The sequence below is a fragment of the Homo sapiens genome, chromosome 15 (genome assembly GCF_000001405.40).
Source record: "Homo sapiens chromosome 15, GRCh38.p14 Primary Assembly".
In the NCBI taxonomy this organism is placed as follows: Eukaryota; Metazoa; Chordata; class Mammalia; order Primates; family Hominidae; genus Homo; species Homo sapiens.
The window spans coordinates 72,649,576-72,670,594 of record NC_000015.10 but is presented as its reverse complement, the minus strand read 5'-3'; the positions used below and the strand labels follow the sequence as shown (position 1 = coordinate 72,670,594).

Genomic DNA, 21,019 nt, shown 5'->3' with positions numbered 1-21,019 from the left:
AACACACCAGGCTGAGCAGTATGGCTAAATCCATTTATTCCAAAATGAAAGGCAAAATAAACAGGAGTCGCATCACCAGGGAGCCACAACCCCATCCCCGCCTCCTTCCTCTGCCCCATGCTATCAATAAATAAGTTTCCCAGCCACAAATAATGATTAGAACCTCCTCCTCATATGCCAGCTCCAACCTCTGCTAGGTACGATACAGGGGGTGGCCCTACCCCCTGGAATATACAAAATGTTACACAGATACTATATGTACACTGGGGCCTTCCCAGCAGCCCGTGCCCTCACCTGCTCTACAGTTAGCCCCATTGTCCCTGCCTCAGCTGCCTCTCTGAATAAGAAGATGGGAGCCCCCTGAGGGAAAAGTTGCTTTGGTGAGGGTAGGGAGGCCATCAGGCCGCCTCCAAACAAACCGACTCCACCAGCCTCTGGCTCTTAAATAACAATCATCATCATCCAGAAATTTAAGGACTCAGCCCTGGTCAAGGTGGCAAAGGGTCTGTTTGTCTCCCCCCATTAGACAGGGGTCTTGTCTTGCTACCCTAATGATAAAGGGGTAGGAAGGGATGGTAGGGACACGATGGCGGCAGAGACTCCAGCCCCACTTCTCCAGGCTTATGCTGACAGAGGCCTGCTTTTATTTATTTTTATTTATATCCCATGACTTATTTTTTAATCCCGTAACTTCTTTTTCATAATACTTTTTTTAAACTTTTCATAAAACTTTAAATACTTTTTTCACAACTTTTTTTGCCACGACTTTTCCACATTTTTTATCCCATAACTTTTTCATCCTACAACATTTTCTAAATCCCATAACTTCTTTTTAGTTTGTATTCTTTTAATAAACACACTTGCATAGTTAATTACAATTTTGTAAAAATAAAAACTGATTATCTCATGCCAAGCGTGCCCAGCATTTGCACAGTCTCAATACCTGTAATACTATAGTTTTCAAGACACACAAAATTTTAAGGCAAAAACAGCACTTTGCAACCATTTAATAATTTATTACATTACAGTAGCATCACAGTAGCAGTCAACAATGCCACTTTAGGCAACAGTGTTTCAGTATTTCTATTATACATTCTGTTTACAAGAATTCATAAACTGGTAAAAGTCATTCTAAGAAAACTTGGCAAATAAAGCCTTGCATTGGAATTGGCATTTCTTTCTCTACTTTTCCTTCCCCCAGTTTCTTTCTTTCAAACTACAGTATTCATATTTTAAAGTGTTTTAACTTATTTCAAAACATTAAGATAGCAGTTACACTTATGAATAGTTATATTCTTTTAAAATGACTCTTTAAGATAAAGTTTTAGAGAAACTATATTATGGATAGGGCTGATTTACATTTTCACATTTTCTAAATATCAGCTTTGGTTTTAGAACTGACTTGTTTTCATTTCTGGAAAACCCATCAGGTTAAACAAATACTTTAAAAATGATTATATATTGCAATCTTTAAATAGATTTTTAATTCTTTACTTCCTACAGAAATTCAAATTTATTCAGTTGAACCCACACTTTAAAATTCTATGTTTCTGATTAAACTCTACCCTTCTAATGTTGCCTTCTAAGCAAATTGAAAGCTGCCTTAAACTGAATGAGGAAGAGAACAAATACTTGGCTGAATGAGGTATTGCAAAGGACCACATGCACTTTGAAGAAAGACTTAAGTTGTTGTTATATGATTTACATGCTATTTAATTTTTCTTAAATATATGACAGAATACCTACACAAAGAGTGGTATTTCAGTTAATATAGTACATTCATTTTCCAGACTGACATTCAGCTTAAATATGCCGGTGTGTGATTTAATCCACAGGTACCTGATGAACACATTATTGTCCGATTGGTTGCAGGTGCTAAAGGCTAGCTGAAGATCATTCCTAGTCATTTATATTTATCAGGGTAAAAGTGAAGTGATTTGAACTATAAAAATACCTTTGAAATAATTTATCAATGTATTAGGTAAACCCAGTTTCAGAATTATAAAGAAAAACTGTTAGACCAAATAAGGTGGCTAATTAACAGTGGTATGATTTCTAGCCCGAGGGTCTAAATTGGACTCAAACTGTCTTTAAACTGAACTCAAAGAATGCAAAAGTGGCAAGTTCAGAAAATAAAAGGCAAGAACAGGACTTGAAGTCCATTTTAAACCCTCGGGCTAGAAATCGTCCTACTGTTAATTAGCCACATTCGTTGGTCTAACAGTTTTTCTTTATAATTCTGGAACTGAGTTTATCTAATACATTGATAAATTCATACAATTTGGAAGAGTCAGTTGAAGTCACAAGGACTTAATATTTGCACTCTTTCACTGAATGCAGGCACATCTGTTATTCCATCTGTAAAATCGTATTATTGCTCTCCTATTAACGTCATATGTATAAAAGTATCATGAGGATGCCAAATGCTAAAAATGGAGATGGTCTAGTAACTAGAAATGCCCACCCCAGGGAGCGCACACACATCTCTCCCTGCATCCTAATACTGTGACGTATTTTGGAACACAGACATTAGAACTTCATGAACTTTTAGCTGTTGATTCTTTCCCAAGCATCTTAAAGTTATGATTTAGGCAATGTATGACTGAAATAATTCACTCATCACGTATAGGCACATTAACATAAATATGGCACAAAATATGCCTCTAACTGAAACTGAGAGGTATAAAAACATATTTCACTCTTTGTGAAGAACTTTGTGAGGAAACGTAAGTCTGTCATTGTATAGACACTTTTTCTCATAATACTTGGACATTCGCAAACATTAGATTGCACTGCAGCTTGTAAACATTTTAAGTTGCATAAACTTCGCCTTGATTTTCATGTGTAGTATAATACTGTCTACTAAAACTCCTTTTTGTTTCAACTAAGTACTCTCACATATATTGGTTTATAATAATGGTTGTTATTATTTTTAAAGTGTTTTCCATTCAAAGAAAAGAAGTAAATTCCTACGTCAGAGTAACTAATGTGGCTGAAGAATAGGTATTAGCCAGAGAGGTCTAGATGATAAAATCAATCTTCTAGCCTCAAAGAAGCTCCATGAACATAGAGGAAGGCCAGGTGTCACACAGCTTTCCTTCACTCGAATTCATTCTTGACTAGAGCCTGTATGCCTCTTCCAGGGACATTTAAACTCTTAAAGGATTTCTTATGATCTTCACTAAATACCTTAAGAAGAATGCCAACCAGTGCCCTTTTGTGTACTGGGACATATACTCATGTGATTAAAACAGGTAACATGAACTCTGACTTTAAAATGTATTGTAGATATAAATGCTCTAAGCTAGAAAAGGTTTTCCACATCCACAGTCAATGATGGGAGCCTTTCATTCCTCAGAAATAATCCCTTTTTAGGTCATCAAGAAAGGGTACAACTGCTGCAGCTCATGATGCAATATCTTCATGAGCCCAGAGCACATACAAATCCTAAGGGAACTACCATAGTACAGCGCTCATTCTTGGCACCAGAACAAATGAAACACACTCTATCCTGCACACACCTGCCAGAGCAGGCCACTTTCCTCTTCTGTGAGATTTAAAAAGCTCCCCAAAATGTTATTACTCCCATCCCCAATACACAGAAAATAGGGAAAAGGCTGTTTCCAGTTCTTGGCCTTTAAACAACTCTAAATGTCAGTACTCACAGTGGCATATTACAAAGTAATAAACAGTGCTCAATTGAGGGCAAACCACATATTGAGCTAATGAAGAGCTCACTGTGGTTAGGATTCGATCAAACGTCATAGCAGAACATAAGCACATTTTATCTGAATTCTGGAATGAATATACATGCTGCAATAACATTAAAAAAGCATGGCAGCCTGTTCCAAACCAGCCAGAATAGTTTTGTGCAAATTAGTGGGTCTTTGTGTGTTTGAATTCCCACCACCTAAGGGCAAACTCGATATGCATACTAATGACCTACAATTATCAAATTAAAAATAAAAATGCTAAAGGATGCCAGAAAGAACATCAGGGAAAGACCAACTCTCCCTTAACTTTTTACAAATAAATTTAAACGGTAAATTAGAAACACAAATAAATGTGAGTGGCTCTAGCATTCAAATGGAGTAAATGAATTGTGTAGGAGATGAACCCCGTAACTTTTTGTTGTTGTTGTTGTTTTAAATTTCTTGATCAGCTCTTAGAAGATGATGATGTTTATCTCCCTGTTCTCGGCTGCCTGGTAGAAGAATGGCACGCAGGGTTTGCTGGGCAAGCCTGGGTGCTCCTAGGTGTCCTGCATGACAGGAGACAGCTGCACGATCTGCTGTACAGTGGGGTTGTCATGGGGAGAACCCTCCCTGGCCGCTCCTGGTGCAGGCTCCACGTTGTTGTCCAGGCTCACTTCATAAAAATCTTCAGAGAGAGGGAGGCGGGGGTCTGAGCACAGTGCGAGCCTCCCCTGCCCCTGCCTGCCCACCCCGCCTGAGAGCTCTACTCACCATCCTGCTCACCGGCAGCCCCAAGTTCCTGGGGGGCTGGGGCCCCTGGAGTGGGCTCATCAGCAGGGTTCTGGGCAGCGATGAGGAATTTGCCATGCCCCTCATGGTTGCCCACAAGGGGCAACACCAACTCTTGCAGCTCCAGCAGCTTCACCTGAAGGGAGGGGTGCTCAGCTCCCACCCTGGAGCCTGCACCAGCGCCCATGCCCACCCCCACCCCCGCAGAGATGTTGCACGCCCTACCTTCATCTCCTCCTCCTTCTGGGCCAGCCTGATGACATCCTCCATCTCCTGGTGCCGCGTGTTTGGCACTGCCCCCTGGCTTTCATATACGGTGAAGGACTCTCCTGTGAGAGGACACAGCTCAGACACTAGGGTCCCTCCGACGGCCCTGCAGCTCCCCGTGCCCGTGCCCTGGCCTCCCGCTCACTCATGCCGTCTGTCACTCCAGAAGGCTGGACGAATCCAAGCTCTCGTCTCTCCACCTGCTCCGTCCCGTCCGCCTTCTCCTTCGGGAGGTCCATAAAGCTGCTCTGGAGCCAAAATAATGGGGTCACATCTCGGGAGTGACCTGTTCTGCCCCGCCCCCACTTTTCTTGGCCCATGCCAGGACTCACTCCCTTTCAGCTTCACCATGGCCTCCTTCAGGGCCCGGTAGCTCTCCCCACACACAAACTCACCCCCACTCCCTGGGGCTGGGGCCTCTGCCTCTGGCTCCTTCCAGGCCAAGGCCAACAGATGAGCCAGGTGCAGGCAGCACAGCCTTCACACCTTCCGCTGCCCACATAGCCGTGCCTGCTCCTCCTGGGAACTGGCTCCAGCAGAGGTGAAAAATGCCACTTGAAGGCAAGAGGTGAGTATTCTTGTAGGGGCATAGACAGAACAAATGAGGCAGGGAGGTGGAGAACAACCCCTTCCCTTGGGGCCTCAGAGAGTGCACCTGTTGGTCACAGGTGACAAAGTGTCTGACCACTGGCTCCCGGAAGGGGTGAGGGGCCAGAGCAATCAGAAGGTGGGAAACCAAGAGCATAAGGGGGTCTGGGAGGGACCACAGAGGAAGGTGGCAAAGCGGGGCAGGGAAAGTCAGGCTCACCGTGGCCTCCCGGCTCTCCAGGTCCTCTGGGATGTTTGGCGTGGGCCGAGGCGCCTCCTCCTCCTCACTGTCCAGATGTTGTCCTCCATCTCCTGTAGGGAGGTGGCCAGAGGGGTCCTCAGACAACCCAACAAGGAAGGTCCTGTGGGCCTACCTCTGTCCCCACCCTGACTGTGTAACCCTGAGCCAGCCTCTCCCCAGAGGGGAGTGAGCTGCTGTTCTTTATTTTTCCTTTTAAGAACCAAGATCTTGCTATATTGCCCAGGCACAGTCCCACTACCGGTCGGTGCGGGAGTCCTGACCTGCTCCCTTTCTGATCTGGTCCAGTTCATTCATCCTTAGGCAACCTGGTGGCCCCCTGCTCCCAGGAGGTCACCATATTGATGCTGAACTTAGTGCGGACACCCGGTTGGCATAACGACCAGCTGTTCTAAAGGTCTCTTCCAACCCCTCAATCCTATGCTGCTAACAGTCCCCCCTTCCTCCTGGGGCTCTCTCCTCTTCCTCTGAGTGGTCTCCTGTACCTTCTCCCGGGAGAGCCACGAGGCTTAGCTGGGTCTCTAGCTGTTGGTTCTGCTGGCTGGCAGCTTCTAGGTGCTCCTAAGGGGACGGGAAACAGAGTGAGAAGGCACGGAGGTTGCCAGGTCATCCCCCTCGGGGCCCCGTCCTCAGCAACTGCCTCCCCTGGGTCTCCTGCAACTTTTGGCCGGCCATCTCAGCCACCGCTTTGCCCCAAGCTTCCTGCTGCTGCAGCTGGTCCACGAGCTGGGTCTGCAGCAGTAACTGCCTGTGCAGCGCCTCCTTCTCAGAGGTCAGCTGCTGATAGGTGGCCACGTACTGCTGCAGGTGACCCAGGTACTAGTCTCGCTGCTGCTGCAGACTCTGAGACCCTTGGCTCTTCAGCTCCACCTGCAGGAAGACCCTGGGCATGAGGGCACATGGTGGCTGGCTTCCAGATTCTGGGCCCATTAATAGGGTAGCGAGGGCACCGTGGGGCTCTGTCACCTGCCCAGGACCCTGGTCCCTTGCTCCAGGCCTAAGAGGCTTCCTCTCTTGCCTAGAACCCCATACCTCCTTCCCCAGCCTCAAATCTCATGTCCTTCTTCCCACCATTTAAACTGTAGGCCACAGACTGGCGGAAAAGCAGAGGGAGCCAACCACCATCTGCTAAGTGTGCTACATGCCTAATGCTTTCCAGGTATTCTCTCATTCAATCCTCAGCACCTCTGCAAGGAAAATGCTAACTTCCTTTTGAAGTCACAGAAACAGAGACTTAGAGATGAACAGTAGTTGAATGGTGACCAGTGGAACCCAGGCCAGAATCCAGTTTGAATCTAAGGAGGCTTTTTTGTTTTGTTTTGAGACAGTGTCACTCTGTGGCCCAGGCTGGAGTGCAGTGGTGCAATCTCAGCTCACTGCAACCTCCACCACGTGGGCTCAAGCGATTCTCGTGCCTCAGCCTCCTGAGTAGCTGGGATTACAGGCATGCGCCACCATGCCTGGCTAATTTTTTGTTGTTGTTGTTGTAATTTTAGTAGGGGTGAGGTTTCGCCACGTTGGCCAGGCTGGTCTCAAACTCCTGACCTCAAGTGATTCTCCTGCCTCAGCCTCCCAAAGTGCTGGGATTACAGGTGCGAGCCACCGTGCCTGGATAAGGAGCCTCTTGTACCACTGTCTCTTCCCCTATGATTGGGGGCTCCATGTCTCTAGCTGGGATGATGATGTCCAGACCTGGGAGGAGCCCAGGGCTACCCACCTCTAAAAGTCAGAGGGCAGGAAGCAAGAAACAGTCATAGAGCTGCACTGGAGGGTGCTGGGGTCACCTGCCTCCCAGCTGGAGCTGCCTTTGGCCTGGCACCTCCCCTCCCCAGAGGCTGGTGCCCGCCTCCCAGCCCTTCTTGGATGGGGTGGAGGTTACCATCTCCTTCACCTCGTCTAGCTTCTCCTGCAGCTCCTTTACTTGCTGCTCCAACTGCAGTGCGCTCTTTTTCTCGTTGTTCTGGACAGAGAGAAGCAATCAGTGGCCATCCACTGCAGCTGGAGACACCAGACCTTGGTGTCTGCCTCCCATATCACCAGGAAGGGTGGAGGCAGGTTAGAAAAATCATCCCTTCTCCCCCACAGCCATCAGAGCAGAGCCCGATGAGCTGTAGCTCACAGGTGCCTTTAGAAGTACCATTTCATGTGAGGGCTACACTGGCCCATTTTACAGGTGGGGAAACAAAGGCCTGGAGGGATAGGGATGAGGGCAGGCTCCCCAGGTGGGGCAACCCACCAGATCCTCGAAGCTGCACTGTGGCTCGGCCAGCTGCTTGTCGAGCTTGTGGTTCTGGGAGAGCGCGAGCCTCTCCTCCTGCTTTTGTAGCCTCTCCTCCTTCTTCCACAGCCTCTCCTCCTGGTCCCACAGCCTCTTTTCCTGCTTTTGCAGCCTCTCCTCCTCCTTTCGCAGCCTCTCCTCCTGTTTGCGTAGCCTCTGCTCCTGCTTTCGCAGCCTCTCACCCTGCTCCTGTAGCGTCTTCTGCTGCTCCCGAAGCCTCTCGTTTTGTTCACACAGTCTCTCCTGCTCCCGCACTCTCTGCACCTCCTGCTCTCGGAGCATCTCCTCCTGCTCCTGGAGTCTCTGCTTTTGTTCCTTGCTAAGGAGACTCAAGGCCTGATTGTTTTCCACCTGGGATTGGAGCTTTCCCTCCAGACCTTCCACCTCCTGCCTCAGGTGTTTGGCCTCATCTTGTAGCTGTTCCACCACAGAGGTCACTGCTGGGGGCGCCAGGGATGGGGGCTTAGCTGAGAAATGAAGCAGACAATAAGGGCCTCTGGATTCCCCAACCCCTCTACCCACATCCCCCTCAAAAAAAAAAAAAAAAAAAACCTCCTCTTGATGCACAGCTCCTCTCAGGCTTCCCAAACTTGGCCTCACTGCTAATCATTCCTCGCACCCAATGGTAGCCAATTTCCAAGCCACTTTCACATAGAGAGCACTGTGGGTGGCTGACAACGGGCACTCCTCCCTCTTTGCTGATGGGGACCCTGAGGCTCATGGAGATGACAAAACTTGCCGTCTCCTGGCACAGACCTCTTTCCCTCTGCCTCAAAGCCCTTCCACCCACCCACCTCCCTGGGGCATTCTAAGCCACCCCCACAGACCTCTGATGCCAGTCCTGCTCCGAGGTCACACCAGCCCCATCTTACCCATCTGGTTTTTGAGTTCGGACAAGCTCCTCTCCAGCTCCTGTATCCGATGTATGTCACGCTTCTTCTCTTCCTTCAATGTTCGAGCCTGCCCAAAGCACAGGGGAAAGGGCCCTGGAGAGAGGGGCTGGTGGCTGGACAGGCTACCATCTCATTCTCTGTCCCCATCTCCACAAAGCCCAGACCCATGACCACCTCTGGCTGTACTATTCCCATTTTACAGATGCCCAGAAAGATCCAGTGACCTATCTAAAGTGGGGGCTGAAGGGTCAGACCTCACCTCCACCGACATTTTCCACATCCTCTCCTGCCACCGGGCCCTCTCTCCTTTTATGTGTTTAGCATATTCGTCTCGCTCTAGCTGGACTTGTTTTAGTGACTCTGTCACCTGCAAGAAATGGGCACAGAAGTTAGGAAGGGCTGTCACTGGTCCTCACCTGCTCCTGGCCACCTGGGGTCATCTTCCTTCCACATCCCTCCCTCTGCAAAGCCTCACCTGTGTCACGTGTGCGTTCAGCAGCGCCCGCTCCTTTATGGTCTGCTGTAACCGCCGGTGGAGGACCGCTTCTCTGCAGCTCGAGGACTGGATGGTGAAGAGTGAGAAGTTTTGATCTGGGGAGCTCAGGCAGTGCCCCTTAAAAGGGCTAGGGCTAGGCTCAATATACAACTCGGTCAGTAAAGGTCAAGGCATTTCCAAGCCCGTGGCCTGGTTATTAAAAGAACTCAGTAAAGTTGGAAGGGAGAGGGAAAGAGATAGAATTTACAGCTGGCTAACAGAGGCCCAGAGAGATCAGATAATATTGCTATTGTTATTACTGTTATTACTACCACTGTTTGAACCGTTATGGAGTGCTTCACCAGGTTCCATGCTAGCGATCCCATTTAATCCTCACAACCACCATATGAGACAGTTACTAGGATTACCTCTATTGTGTAGATGAAAAACATCGAGTGTTCAAGGTTAAGTGATTGCCTAAGATCACTTAGACAGAGCTGGGATTTGAACACCCAGGTCTATCCTATTCTCTAAGCCCATTTTTCTTGCTGGGGGTGGGGACACAGATAGGAAGGGGGAAATTAATCTTTTGTTCACTTTTTGAAAGGATGATACATTCATATAGTCCAAAACTCAGAAGGTACAGAAGGGAGGTGTCTCCAGGCACCCTGTTACTCTCTCCTGAGTTTTTTATGAATGCTTGCAGACATGTTTTTGTATATTATCATAGTACACACACACACACACACACACACACACACACACCCCTTTCCTCTCTCTACAGAAATGGTAACATACTAAAGGTGCTCTTCTGTACCTTCACAGAACAACTACCCAATACCCCACCTAGGACTTGGCCAAGGCCACAGCCAGGAAAGGGCAGGGCAGGCACTTGGCCTCTGAGCTCTGCATCCAGTGCTCACTCCCCACAGTGCCCCCCAACTCACCCACAGCAGCTGACTCAGCCCCAGGCTGCCTCTAACAACCATACACAAAAGTAGTGAGAAATGACCATGCTGCCTTCTGGGCAGGACACTCCATCCTGCAGAAGGGACCTTTAGGCTCACTCCTCTATCTGGGAAGCCAGGCTGCCAGGGGATGGGGCAGCTGGTTGGACTCACCCTGTCCTCTTCCTGCTGCTGTGTAGACACAGCACAGAGAGCCCGCTCCAATTCTTGAATACGCTGTAAGGAGTATTGCAGGCGGCCAGCCAGATCCTTGGACTCTTCTGTAATGAGAGAGGTTGAGATGGGGCCCAAAAGACTCCCCCTAAAGACCTGTCAAAGTGCCAGGTTGAAGGATGACGGGATGCCCAGATTCCCACCTTCGAAGTGTCGGGCAGCACGTTTAGTATGGTAAAGGGTGGTCTTCAAGTCTGCCTTTTCCAATGTGAGGATGTTGATTGTCTGGAATTGAACGTTTGGGAGAAAAGCCAAGGAAATGCTGAAAGAGAAGGAAAGAAACATTCTCCAGAGGACAGGAGAAAGCTCCCCACCCTCCACTCACCTCTAACCGCTCCATTTGTGCTTTGTGTATTTCATTGTTTGTTTTCTTTGCCTGTAGGAAGAGGAAGACAGAGCTCTTATCACAGGGAGGCAGAGATGGCACAGCAAGAGACATGCCCCCAGAATGCCACCAATGCCCCAGGACAGGCCCACCCATGGGACCAGGTTATCAGGGACCCTGTGGGGATGGGGTGGAATCTGATGGGTGAGCCTTCTTCCCCAGGCTGGGAGTGGGCAAGATGAGACTGGCGCCTCTGCATCTGAGTGTCCCCCAAACCCAGCAGTCATGTTGTGAGCAAAGAAATCACGTTACTTCTTCCAGCTGATGTTCCACTTGTTTCTTCTGCTGTTTCTGTGGGGAGAGTCAAATTCAGGTGACTGAGAGTGGCCCCCTCAACTCTATTCCCCAGACCTGGAAGCGGTAGGCAGGGTCCAGGAATGGATTTTAAAGGCAACATTCTCAGAACCAATGGCAACACAAACTGGTCAACCCTCTTCAAGCTCCCAAGGACAGAGGACTTGGGTCTTTGTTGGTTTTTGCCCACAGCCACAGAACTCGAAGTCTGAATCTGGATTCTCTTGAAAGGACAGTAACATAAACCCCTAGAGAGGGAGTCTCAGGAAGGCCCACCCTTCTGCCAGCTTGTGATTTAGAAAGGTGCCTTCATTCAACAAACATTTACTGAACACATACGGGCCAGCTACGGTTCTTCACAGCAGATATAGGATGGAAAAGGACAGACAGGAGCCCTTGGCCCTCAGGTTTCCATTCTAGGGGCCTTTAAATCTCAGGCTCTCAGAGCTAACAGAGAACTCTGATGCTCTACCTCCTCCAGAAACACAAGCCCAAGGAGGACAGGTGGCTTGTCCAGACTCAAAGCAAATTAGGGACTGAGTCAGGGCAGAAATACAGGGCCCCTGACAACCAGTCAGGCTAGCGCTTCCCTGAGAGGTGACAACCTCAGGGCGTGTGTGGCAAGGACTGGAGCAGGGGTGTCTGGAGAAGAGAGAGTCGGCAAAGAGGGCAGTGACAGAAGAGCCATGCTGCGTGCTCCTTGCTCTGGGGTCCCTCCAGGTGAGGCCTGGGTGCTCCAGCTCCCCATTTGCCCTTGGCACCAGGGGCCCCCAGCCCCTTTCTTCAGGGCCCCAAGGGGAAACTAAAGCCCAGGATTGGCAGCATGGAATCAGGGGACCCCACTGGACTTACCAATGATTCTATGTTTTCATTGAGTTGACTGATTGTCACTGAGCTTGACTCCAGGGCTACTGCTAGTTCTTGGTACTGGCTCTGAGGCACATGCAGAGAGGAGGAGTTGGAAGAGGATTGTGGGGAGAGGTAGAGAGAACAATCATTAGGGCTGGGGTGTGTGTGGGCTGTCTCAGCTGGCAGAGGGTCACCCAGCCCCCACTGTGAGAGGAGGTTGGAGGGCTGGCCTGCAAAGTCACTGCACCTCAGCCCAGGGCCTCTTACTTCCAGATCCTTCAGGGTAACAGATGATGCAGGAGTAATAAAAATGAGAAATTAAAAAAAAACTTACATGGGAAATAGTTATGTATATGGAGAAAGTATAAAAACAGCAAGGAGCCGGGCACAGTGGCTCACACATGTAATCCCAGCAGTTCAGGAGGCTGAGACAAGTGGATCACTTGAGGTCAGGAGATCAAGATCAGCCTGGCCGACATGGTGAAACTGCATCTCTACTAAAAATACAAAGAGTAGCCAGGCGTAGTGGCAGGTGCCTGTAATCCCAGCTACTCAGGAGGCTAAGGCAAGAGAATCACTTGAACCCGGGAGGCAGAGGTTGTAGTGAGCCGAGATCGCACCACTCCACTCCAGTCTGAGTGACAGAGTGAGACTCTGTCTCAAAAAAAAAAAAAAAAAAAAAAAAAAAAAGAGCCCAAATCCCACATGCCTGCTCTGTACGTTATTCCCAGATTACTTTTAAACTTTTAGGCGTCACCATTTCCAAGATAATAAAAGACGCGGGGAAGGAAAAAACCCAATCAATCAAGCAGGTGAAGAAGCAGACAGAAACAGGCTGAAGGTTAATGGCAGCAACATAAAACAAGGCAGAGGCCAAGCATCCCCCAAGCCAGAGAAGCCTCAGGGCCATGCACAGCTGTAGACAGCAAGCCAGAGAGGGGTCTTGGCACTGCCTCACCTTCCACTTGTCCAATGGGGGAGCACTACCCCATTGGAGTGGTTAAGGTTGGACACCCGCACCTTCAGAATGTCCTGAATCTACAGGAGGTGACAAGGGAAAAACAAGGGCAGGGGGTGAAAGACAGAAGTGGCTTAGAGAGAAGCAAGAAAGTCAGGGTAGGAGGAAGATGTGGGTTCAGGAAAAGGAAACGCTGAAGAAGAGCAGAGGAGATTAAAACCATGGCCTGTGCCATTCTTCCAAATGGCCACCTGCTGCCTTGCCAGGGGCAGGAAAAAAATAGATGGAAAAGTCCCCCGAGTGACGCAGTCACAGAGTGGAGTCAGCTGACCAATGCAGATCTTAATACGCTCACTGGACCCCTCTCCTCAGGCCCAGGACATGGGCGATGAATCTGGTAGAGCTCCAGACCTCCACCTCCATTAAAAAAAAACAGACTCCTGAGTAAGAGTTCACTTGAACTAAGGGGACTTCAGCTAAAAAACAAGTTTGAAAGACACTGATCTTATCCAGTATCATCTTACAGAGGAGGAAACTGAGGCCCAGCAGAAGAAGTGATTTTTCTGTGGTCACCCAGCAAGCTGGTGGCAAGTTAGACCTTCTCTTGCTCCTAGTGCCTTGGGCTCTCCTCACCACACCCTGGGCCCCCTTCAGTGACTCCTAGAGGGACAGCCTGATGGCAAGTGGCTGTACTCATTAGCCCAGCTTCCCCTTGCGAGTGGGGATCAGGAAAATCAAACAGCAATGACCATTTCCTGGGTATCCCGGGTGTTTACAGCAGGCCACGTACTAGGGGTTAACATGAAAACAACAACAATAAGGAATCTCATTTAAACTTCACAAATGGAAGTCAAACAATACTACCCCTATTTTACAGATGTGAAAAGAGAGGCCCAAAGAGCTCAAGCAACTTGCCATAAATCAGATCGCTAGCAGATGAAGAAGCAGGATTCAAACCCAGAATTCTTAACCAGTACCCAGCAATCTCAACAATTACCCTCTACTGCCCCTTGGGCCCCCTGTCCCCAGGAGCCTGGCCAGCCAAGACTCACATCCCCAGGTGAGTGGCCACCACCGGAAGTGGTTGTCTCAGGGCTACTGTCAGTTTTTTTCTTTTTTGTCTTTGCTCCTGCTGGAATACCAGGGCTCTTCCTTTGCTGATATTCTTTTAGCTGTGGGAAAGAAGAGCAGTAATACTCATGAGAACTACCAGCCCTTACAGCCACACCCTCCTTACAGTTTTTGCAAAATACTCTTATACACCATCTGATTTAATGCCACCAACAACTGTACAAGGTGTTGTCACAATCACTTAAGTGACTGAGAGGGATGGATATTATGGCTAAAAAAAAAAGTGTGGGGGGGCAATAATGGAACTTAAACTCAGTCTTCTGACTCCAAGCTCTGGGGTTTTGCCATGAATCAGCAGCTGCCGGGGACCAAAACCAGACGCAGAGGTAGAAAAGTAAACATTACATAGGCATGAACTACACGCTGTGTGGTTTAGAGTCATACATCCTCAAATGTCTGTTAGTGTGAAGAAGTGCACCAGTATCTCTCAAACTTTTATATCAATGTGTCCTCATGGCAGAAGGCAGCTTTTTTGTTAAATCTGGGAATTTATCAGAAAGAGGACAACCCAAGTCTCATTTCAGAGAGAAGTCTGGTATACTCTTAGAAACCTATGTGAGGGTCACCCCTAAGTACATTAATGTTTTTTCTCTCTCAAGAGACTCAAGGGAAACTGATGCTTCAGAAAGATCTCCCACATTTATCCTGTGGCACTCAATGTACCCTAAGTTGAGATGATATGAGGAAGATTCAAGCTGTCAAGTTCAGTTTCCCAAGACCTATTCCACAGAAGATGAGCAAATCTCACTTCAGAGACCACTGACTGAAGGGCAGTCTGGTCCCAGAACCGTGGAGAATTAGAATATGAGGTGGAGAACTCGGAAAAAAATGTTAAAGTCTCTCTGGAGAGTAGAAGCCTGGGAGAAAACCAAACCAAACCCATTCTCCCATTACCACCCAGAGATACTGTCAACGTTTTGAGCTCACAGGGGAAGTGTAGGCTTTTCACACTGTCGATGTCTATGTGAAGGGAGTAAGGCAGCCTGAAACCTCTTGCTCCTAGGTCCCATGGTCCCCATTTCCCTTCTAGCTGGAAATTTGTGCTGTGACCAGAGGAACCAGAAATGGGGTGAGAATGCTTAGGGGACTGGGTTATAAGATCAAAGGCCGGTCTTGCAGCAGTAATGACAGTTCCTAGGAGGACTGTGACATCACTACATTCCACTCCTCCTGGGGGTGGGGGAAACCTCATCAGTGCAATGGCTGAGTTGCCGATCCACGATGGGGGAGGGGGGACGTGGGGCTGGGACCCAGGTCCTTGGAGATGCCAGTCCAGAGAGCCCAGGGAGGTCGGGCTTGGGTCAGCAGGAGGGGAGAGCAGAGTCTGCTCAGGGAACCCCAGGAGTCACCAGCCCAAAGTCACCCCGGGATGACTGGCGATGCTGGGGGGTTGGGGCTGGGGGACCCAGGTCCTTGGAGAGGTGAGCCCAAAGAACCCAGGGAGGTTGGGCTTGGGGTGGCAGGACGTGAGGGCTGAATATGGAGCAGGTATCCCCAGTAGTCATCCGCCCAAAGTCACCGCAGGGTGATTGGCGAGGGCAGAGGCTGGGCTGCTTGCTGAAGGGGCGGGGCTGACTGACAAGACGTTGGTGGGGGGAGTCCAGAGGCGCCGGGGTAGGGGGGCCCAGCCCGGTGTGCCTCAGGAGTGGTATGGACTCTGGGAGTGGTCTTGTCATCAGAGGGGATCTCTGGCTAGGTTGGGGGGCCATGACCTTTTTCTTGGCTTTTTACCTTTTTCTTGGCTGCTGCCAATTTATTCTGTCGAGATTCTTCTAACATCATGGGGTGGGGAGGGAGGTAGGGTTGGGGCCACATCAGCGAACACCTCCAGTCACCTACAAGGCTGCTGTGTGACTGAGCCAGAGGAGGCGTAACCAGGGCCACACTAGAATGCAGAATAGGGGTGTGGCCTTAATGCTCCAATCCCATTGGTCAATGAGAAAGATGAAAGGGAAAGGAGGCGTGGCCAGGCAGCAGTGTGCCCAGAGGAACCTGTGACATCACAAGGAAAGCTGCCCATGCGACTGCTGTCCCTGCCCACTTGGGGAGAGGGGCGGGGCCTGCCTACTCCGGGAGAGGGGAGGGCTGGTTTTTGCTTTAAAATGTTAAAAATAAACTTTAAAAAAATATGTATTTATACTTTATATATATGTGTGTCAGTGTGTGTGTGTCTACATGTTCCTCCAGAGCTGTCTTCATTATCCAGCTTCTATGCATGGTCTATGATTTTGGCCTACATTTTTCATCTTCAGAGGGAGTATAAGAATTACCAGTATTACCCCAGTTAAGACACAAATCCTATAAAAATGGAAAATCCATAGCATGTTTGATGATTAATGAATGAAGTGGACTATATTATCCAACATCCCAATAAGGTAAAATAATCACAATGATTTCTCGGCTTTGGAAAAAACATTTCTCTTATTCTCCTACATTATTAAGATTTTTTAAAAAACAAGAAACATGTCTAATATCTTTAAAAACACAAAGCTTTTGGGCCGGGTGTGGTGGCTCACACCTGTAATCCCAGCACTTTGGGAGGCCTAGGTGGGTGGATCACCTTAGGTCAGGAGTTCAAGACCAGCCTGGCCAACATGGTGAAACCCTGTCTCTACTCGAAATACAAAAACTAGCCAGGTGTGGTGGTGGGTACCCGTAATCCCAGCTACTGGGGAGGCTGAGGCAGGAGAATCACTTGAACCCGGGAGGCGGAAGTTGCAGTGAGCCAAGGTCACGCCACTGCACTCCAGCCTGGGTGACAGACTGAGACTCCATCTCAAAAAAATAAAATAAAATAGTCAAAAATAAATAAAAACACAAAGCTTTCCATTTAATAAGCACTCAAAGCTCTTTACTGGTTTAAAGCAAATACAAGGCCTATTTTTCTAGAATCACCTGGCCTCTCTAAGCCTTGCAAATGAAACTGAATTTCTCACTTGATACTTGGCTATGACTTGCAATCATGAAAACCAAGAATTGTGTTATGTCACTGTGTATTGATTGTTACCTGAATTCCACACTAGGCTGGGATCAAGGGTTGAATCTTTCATGATTTGCTCCATAACCTGTGAGCTTCTTTTCCTACACCAAACTAAGCTTTGTTCTAGAGTTCTACAATTTACAGTTAGTAGACAAGAGTGGTTCTCAAAAATGTAGTCTCTGGACTAGCAGCAGCAGCAGAACCTGAGAACCTTTTGTAAGTGCAAATTCTCAGGCCCCACCCTGGACATGGTGAATCAGAAACTCTGGAGTAGGGCTCAGCAATCTGTGCTGCAGTCATCCCTCCAGGTGTTCAAGAACCTCTGGCATACAGCAGGCAGAAAAATGTGTTTCCTTCTGTAGGTCCAAAGCCAGGGATACCATATGTTCTGTCTTGATATGAAACAATGGCATGCAATTAAAAGACATAAATCTCCTTCCTGCTCCCACCCTCCATCCAATGTGTTTTATTTTTATGAGTTAAATAAGAAAACAAACGGCAATCAGAGATTCAGCCTAAAAAGTATGTTTACAAGTGTCAGTTCTCATCCAGCCTGATCTCACACAATACCATTTACACCCTCTTACCTCTCAAGTTTTTTAAAAAGTGTCTTCACAATGTAAGTCTCGGGCACACTAGCAGTTCTATAATAAAACACCAAGTAGATCAGAATGTCCAAACTTACTAGAGAAGAAAAGTGGAATCACTGGCTGTATTTTCAAGTTGCATTCAACAGGAAATGTAAGTTTTTCATTCTTTTCACCTTCACACTTCAATAGCATTAAATCAGAATACTCCATTCTTCCAAAGCCTCTAGCCAGGCAAAGTTTTACTGTATTACTTCTTGCTTTCGATAGATATAAAGCAGAGTCCTGGTAGGCACATTTTGTATGCCTGCAAAGATGCAGAAGTAAACAGTTCCATCTATTCAATATTAAAACAAAAGTCCTGCAAACCTCGGATGGTGAGTGTAATACATCAGCACTAGCACCAAAGCCTCAAATATAAACAGATACCAATATCACCACTAGCAAACAAAATGAGCCCTCGGCCAGGAGCAGTAGTTCACACCTGTAATCCCAACACTTTGGCAAGCCAAGGTGGGAGGATCACTTTAAGTCAGGAGTTCAAGACCAGCCTGGGCAGCATAGTGAATTCGCATCTCTACAAAAAATCTTAAAAATTAGCTGGGGGTGGTGGCACACACCTGTAGTCCTAGCTACTTGGAAGGCTGATGTATGAAAACTGCTTCAGCTCAGGAGTACGACGCTGTGGTAGCTATGATCATGCCACTGCACTCCAGCCTGGGTGACAGAGCAAGATCTAGATAATTACAGTCTGTCCTGCTCCTGTTTATGTTAAAATGCTTTCAATCAGCAGGATAAAAATTAAGTGAAATGTGACTTGGGAGCTTGGCCAGAAAATAGGCAATGGAGAAACAGGCACTTCCCACAAGAATAAAAATGGCCAATAAGCACATAAAAATGATTCAAGGCCAGGGCCGTGGCTCACGCCTGTAATCCCAGCACTTTAGGAGGCCGAGGTGGGTGGATCACCTGAGGTCAAGAGTTTGAGACGGGCCTGACCAACATGGTGAAATCCCATCTCTACTAAAAAATACAAAAATTAGCCAGGCATGGCGGTGGGCACCTGTAATCCCAGCTACTCGGGAAGCTGAGGCAGGAGAATCGCTTGAACCCAGGAGGCAGAGGTTGCAGTTATCCGAGATTGCACTGTTGCACACCAGCCTGGGCCATAGAGCAAGACTCCATCTCAAAAAAAAAAAAAAGTTTCAAAAGCACTAGAAACCAAAGAAATACAATGAAAACAATGAGATTTTCTCCTTAAATATCAGCAAAGAGGACAAATGGAAACGGGATACTGGAGCTCTGCCCCTGTTGGGAGTATAAACTGAACCAATTTTTCTGCAGGATAATTTGAAAATTTCTATTAAAAATCTTAAAACTATTTTATGTTATTTTTCTCCAGAAATTCTACTTCTATGACTTCAGCCCCAAAATGCTTGCTTGCGTCCATTAAAATATATATATAAGAAAATTTACTTCTGGGGTGGCAATGATTAACTTAATACACATCGAGCTTTTAAAAAGATGATGCCAAGGATATATTTACTGCCATAGAAATATGCCCAAAACATAGTGACAAAAGACTATATATTACGATTCTACTTTTTAAAATGTTCATATGCATAAAAAAATATAAAAAGCAACAAACCAGAATGCTTTCAGTGGCAAAATTAAAGACTTTTCTTCATATTTTGTCTTCCAAATTATTACAAAAAGAATGCAATTTTCTTTATAATCAGGGAGAAGTATTATTTTCATTTATTTACATATAAATTTCTTTTCTTTTCCTTATTTCTTCTAATGTATGTATCACATGTACCCTAAGAGCTTGAATCCCTACTTCTTGAGGTAAATCAGACCATTTCTGTCTCTATCAACTTGCCTTTTTTGGACATTTCAAATCAACAGAATTATACAATATGTGGTCACATGTCTGGCTTTTTACTTAGCTAAGGTTTTTGAGGTTGGTCCATGACATATAACAGGTTTTGGTAGTTTGTTCCTTTCATTACTGAGTAGAAGTCCATTGATGGATATATACCACATTTTGTCAGCAGAGAACATTTAAACTTTGCTTTCAACTTCCTATGGTCTAAATGAAACCGCTGGAACACAGGACTTAACAGTGAAAGCTGCTGTGCATGTCAAAAGAACTACTTATCAGAACCAGCTTTGTCATCAGGAGCCTGAACTGCTGCAGAAATTTTTATCATTTTGCAACTTCCTTTTTACAAGCAGCTTTTGTGCTACTACACATCAGGACTTTTGAAGCATCTGATACATCCATCTAATAAGTATGAGCATGTGTCTGAGTGGACAAGTAAAACCATCTATGCTACACTGCATATTTTTTCCTCCCCCAGACTGGACCAGGGAATCTCTCAACTTTCTAGAGTATCCTGTCTCCATTGACAAAGCTGAACAGTATTAAAGATCCTGCTGCCTTTGTTAGGCAGATTTGGAAGGGAGGCCCAACAGCAAGGGTGGAGAGGAAAAAGAGAGGGGAGCTTGTGGAACAGGAAGCCCCCTGGGGTCTGCACATGGCTCCCAGCTGTTGAGGATGTTGTGGATGGGGAAGTGCTGATGGTGTCCCGAGGCAAGCCTAGCACCTGCACTGGGCCCAGAAGGTCTTGACTTTGGCCCCTTACCCACGTTCCAGAAGTGTTTACAAGCTGGTTTTGCTTTTCTTCTTTTCCCAAATAATCATTACTTGGTAGTTAGTTATTAACCTTTCTTTGGGAGAGGGACAGAGCTTTAAAACTGAAGAACATAATTTTCATTAAAATATCAAAAATGGAAAAAAGTTACTTTGTAAACAATTTGCTATACAAACCAAATGGCAGCTGTTGAGAATCTCAATAAAGTGTTAAATGCATTTGCTGCTGTTAGAAGAAATACAGTAAAAATATTTAAAATAAAGAAAAAAATTTGCTGGCAGTGGTACCATTTGCCCAAGGTTGGGTTGCTGTGTCGTCATACTGTGGTGGGGGGTATATGTGGTGTATATGTGTGAAACTCTTCATCTCAGGATGGATCATAATGTGAGCTGCAGCTTTCCTTCCAAATAGGGTTACAAAGTAGTAAAACATGGGCTTGGAAGTGACAGACCTGAGTGAATCAGCCAAGCTTAAAGAAAAACCCAATAAAATTAACTTTTAATAATCCTGACGTTGGTTTTTGAAACAATAGATACAATGATTTACTCTAAGCATCAGGTTATGATTTTGAATCAGTAATACACACTGTCTCGACCTTTTTCTTTTTTTATGGAAACAGAGGTTTCACCCAGAAAACCCCAAAACAGTGACTTTTTTTTTTTTAAGACAGGGTGTCACTCTGTCGCCCAGGCTGCAGTGGAGTGGTGGATCTCAGCTCACTGCAGCCTCGACCTCCCACCTCAGCCTCCCGAG

General features: G+C 46.9%; 1 protein-coding gene and 1 pseudogene across 1 annotated transcript, besides 3 other annotated features; both read right to left on the bottom strand.

Moving 5' to 3' along the window:
- Positions 1–995: 995 nt before the first annotated feature.
- GOLGA6B (golgin A6 family member B) lies at positions 996–15,898 on the bottom strand. Its single transcript, NM_018652.5, has 18 exons — positions 15,774–15,898; positions 13,964–14,083; positions 11,957–12,037; positions 11,063–11,101; positions 10,751–10,801; positions 10,569–10,650; positions 10,366–10,472; positions 9,245–9,331; positions 9,029–9,136; positions 8,749–8,836; positions 7,835–8,343; positions 7,490–7,558; positions 6,084–6,159; positions 5,560–5,651; positions 4,897–4,999; positions 4,710–4,813; positions 4,467–4,620; positions 996–4,380 (listed from the first exon to the last, which is right to left on the bottom strand). The coding sequence occupies exons 1-18, from the start codon at positions 15,855–15,857 to the stop codon at positions 4,253–4,255; spliced, it is 2,082 nt and encodes a 693-aa protein (NP_061122.4). The 5' UTR covers positions 15,858–15,898; the 3' UTR covers positions 996–4,252.
- RN7SL853P (RNA, 7SL, cytoplasmic 853, pseudogene) lies at positions 5,796–6,018 on the bottom strand (annotated as a pseudogene).
- Positions 7,320–7,819: an enhancer, noted in NCBI's record as "H3K27ac hESC enhancer chr15:72955117-72955616 (GRCh37/hg19 assembly coordinates)". NCBI's record gives its function as "activates a minimal SCP1, AML or CMV promoter by ChIP-STARR-seq in primed H9 embryonic stem cells {active_cell/tissue: H9 hESC(primed)}" and the evidence as "EXISTENCE:reporter gene assay evidence [ECO:0000049][PMID:30033119]".
- Positions 7,820–8,321: an enhancer, noted in NCBI's record as "H3K27ac hESC enhancer chr15:72954615-72955116 (GRCh37/hg19 assembly coordinates)". NCBI's record gives its function as "activates a minimal SCP1, AML or CMV promoter by ChIP-STARR-seq in primed H9 embryonic stem cells {active_cell/tissue: H9 hESC(primed)}" and the evidence as "EXISTENCE:reporter gene assay evidence [ECO:0000049][PMID:30033119]".
- Positions 19,822–20,339: an enhancer, noted in NCBI's record as "OCT4-NANOG-H3K27ac hESC enhancer chr15:72942597-72943114 (GRCh37/hg19 assembly coordinates)". NCBI's record gives its function as "activates a minimal SCP1, AML or CMV promoter by ChIP-STARR-seq in primed H9 embryonic stem cells {active_cell/tissue: H9 hESC(primed)}" and the evidence as "EXISTENCE:reporter gene assay evidence [ECO:0000049][PMID:30033119]".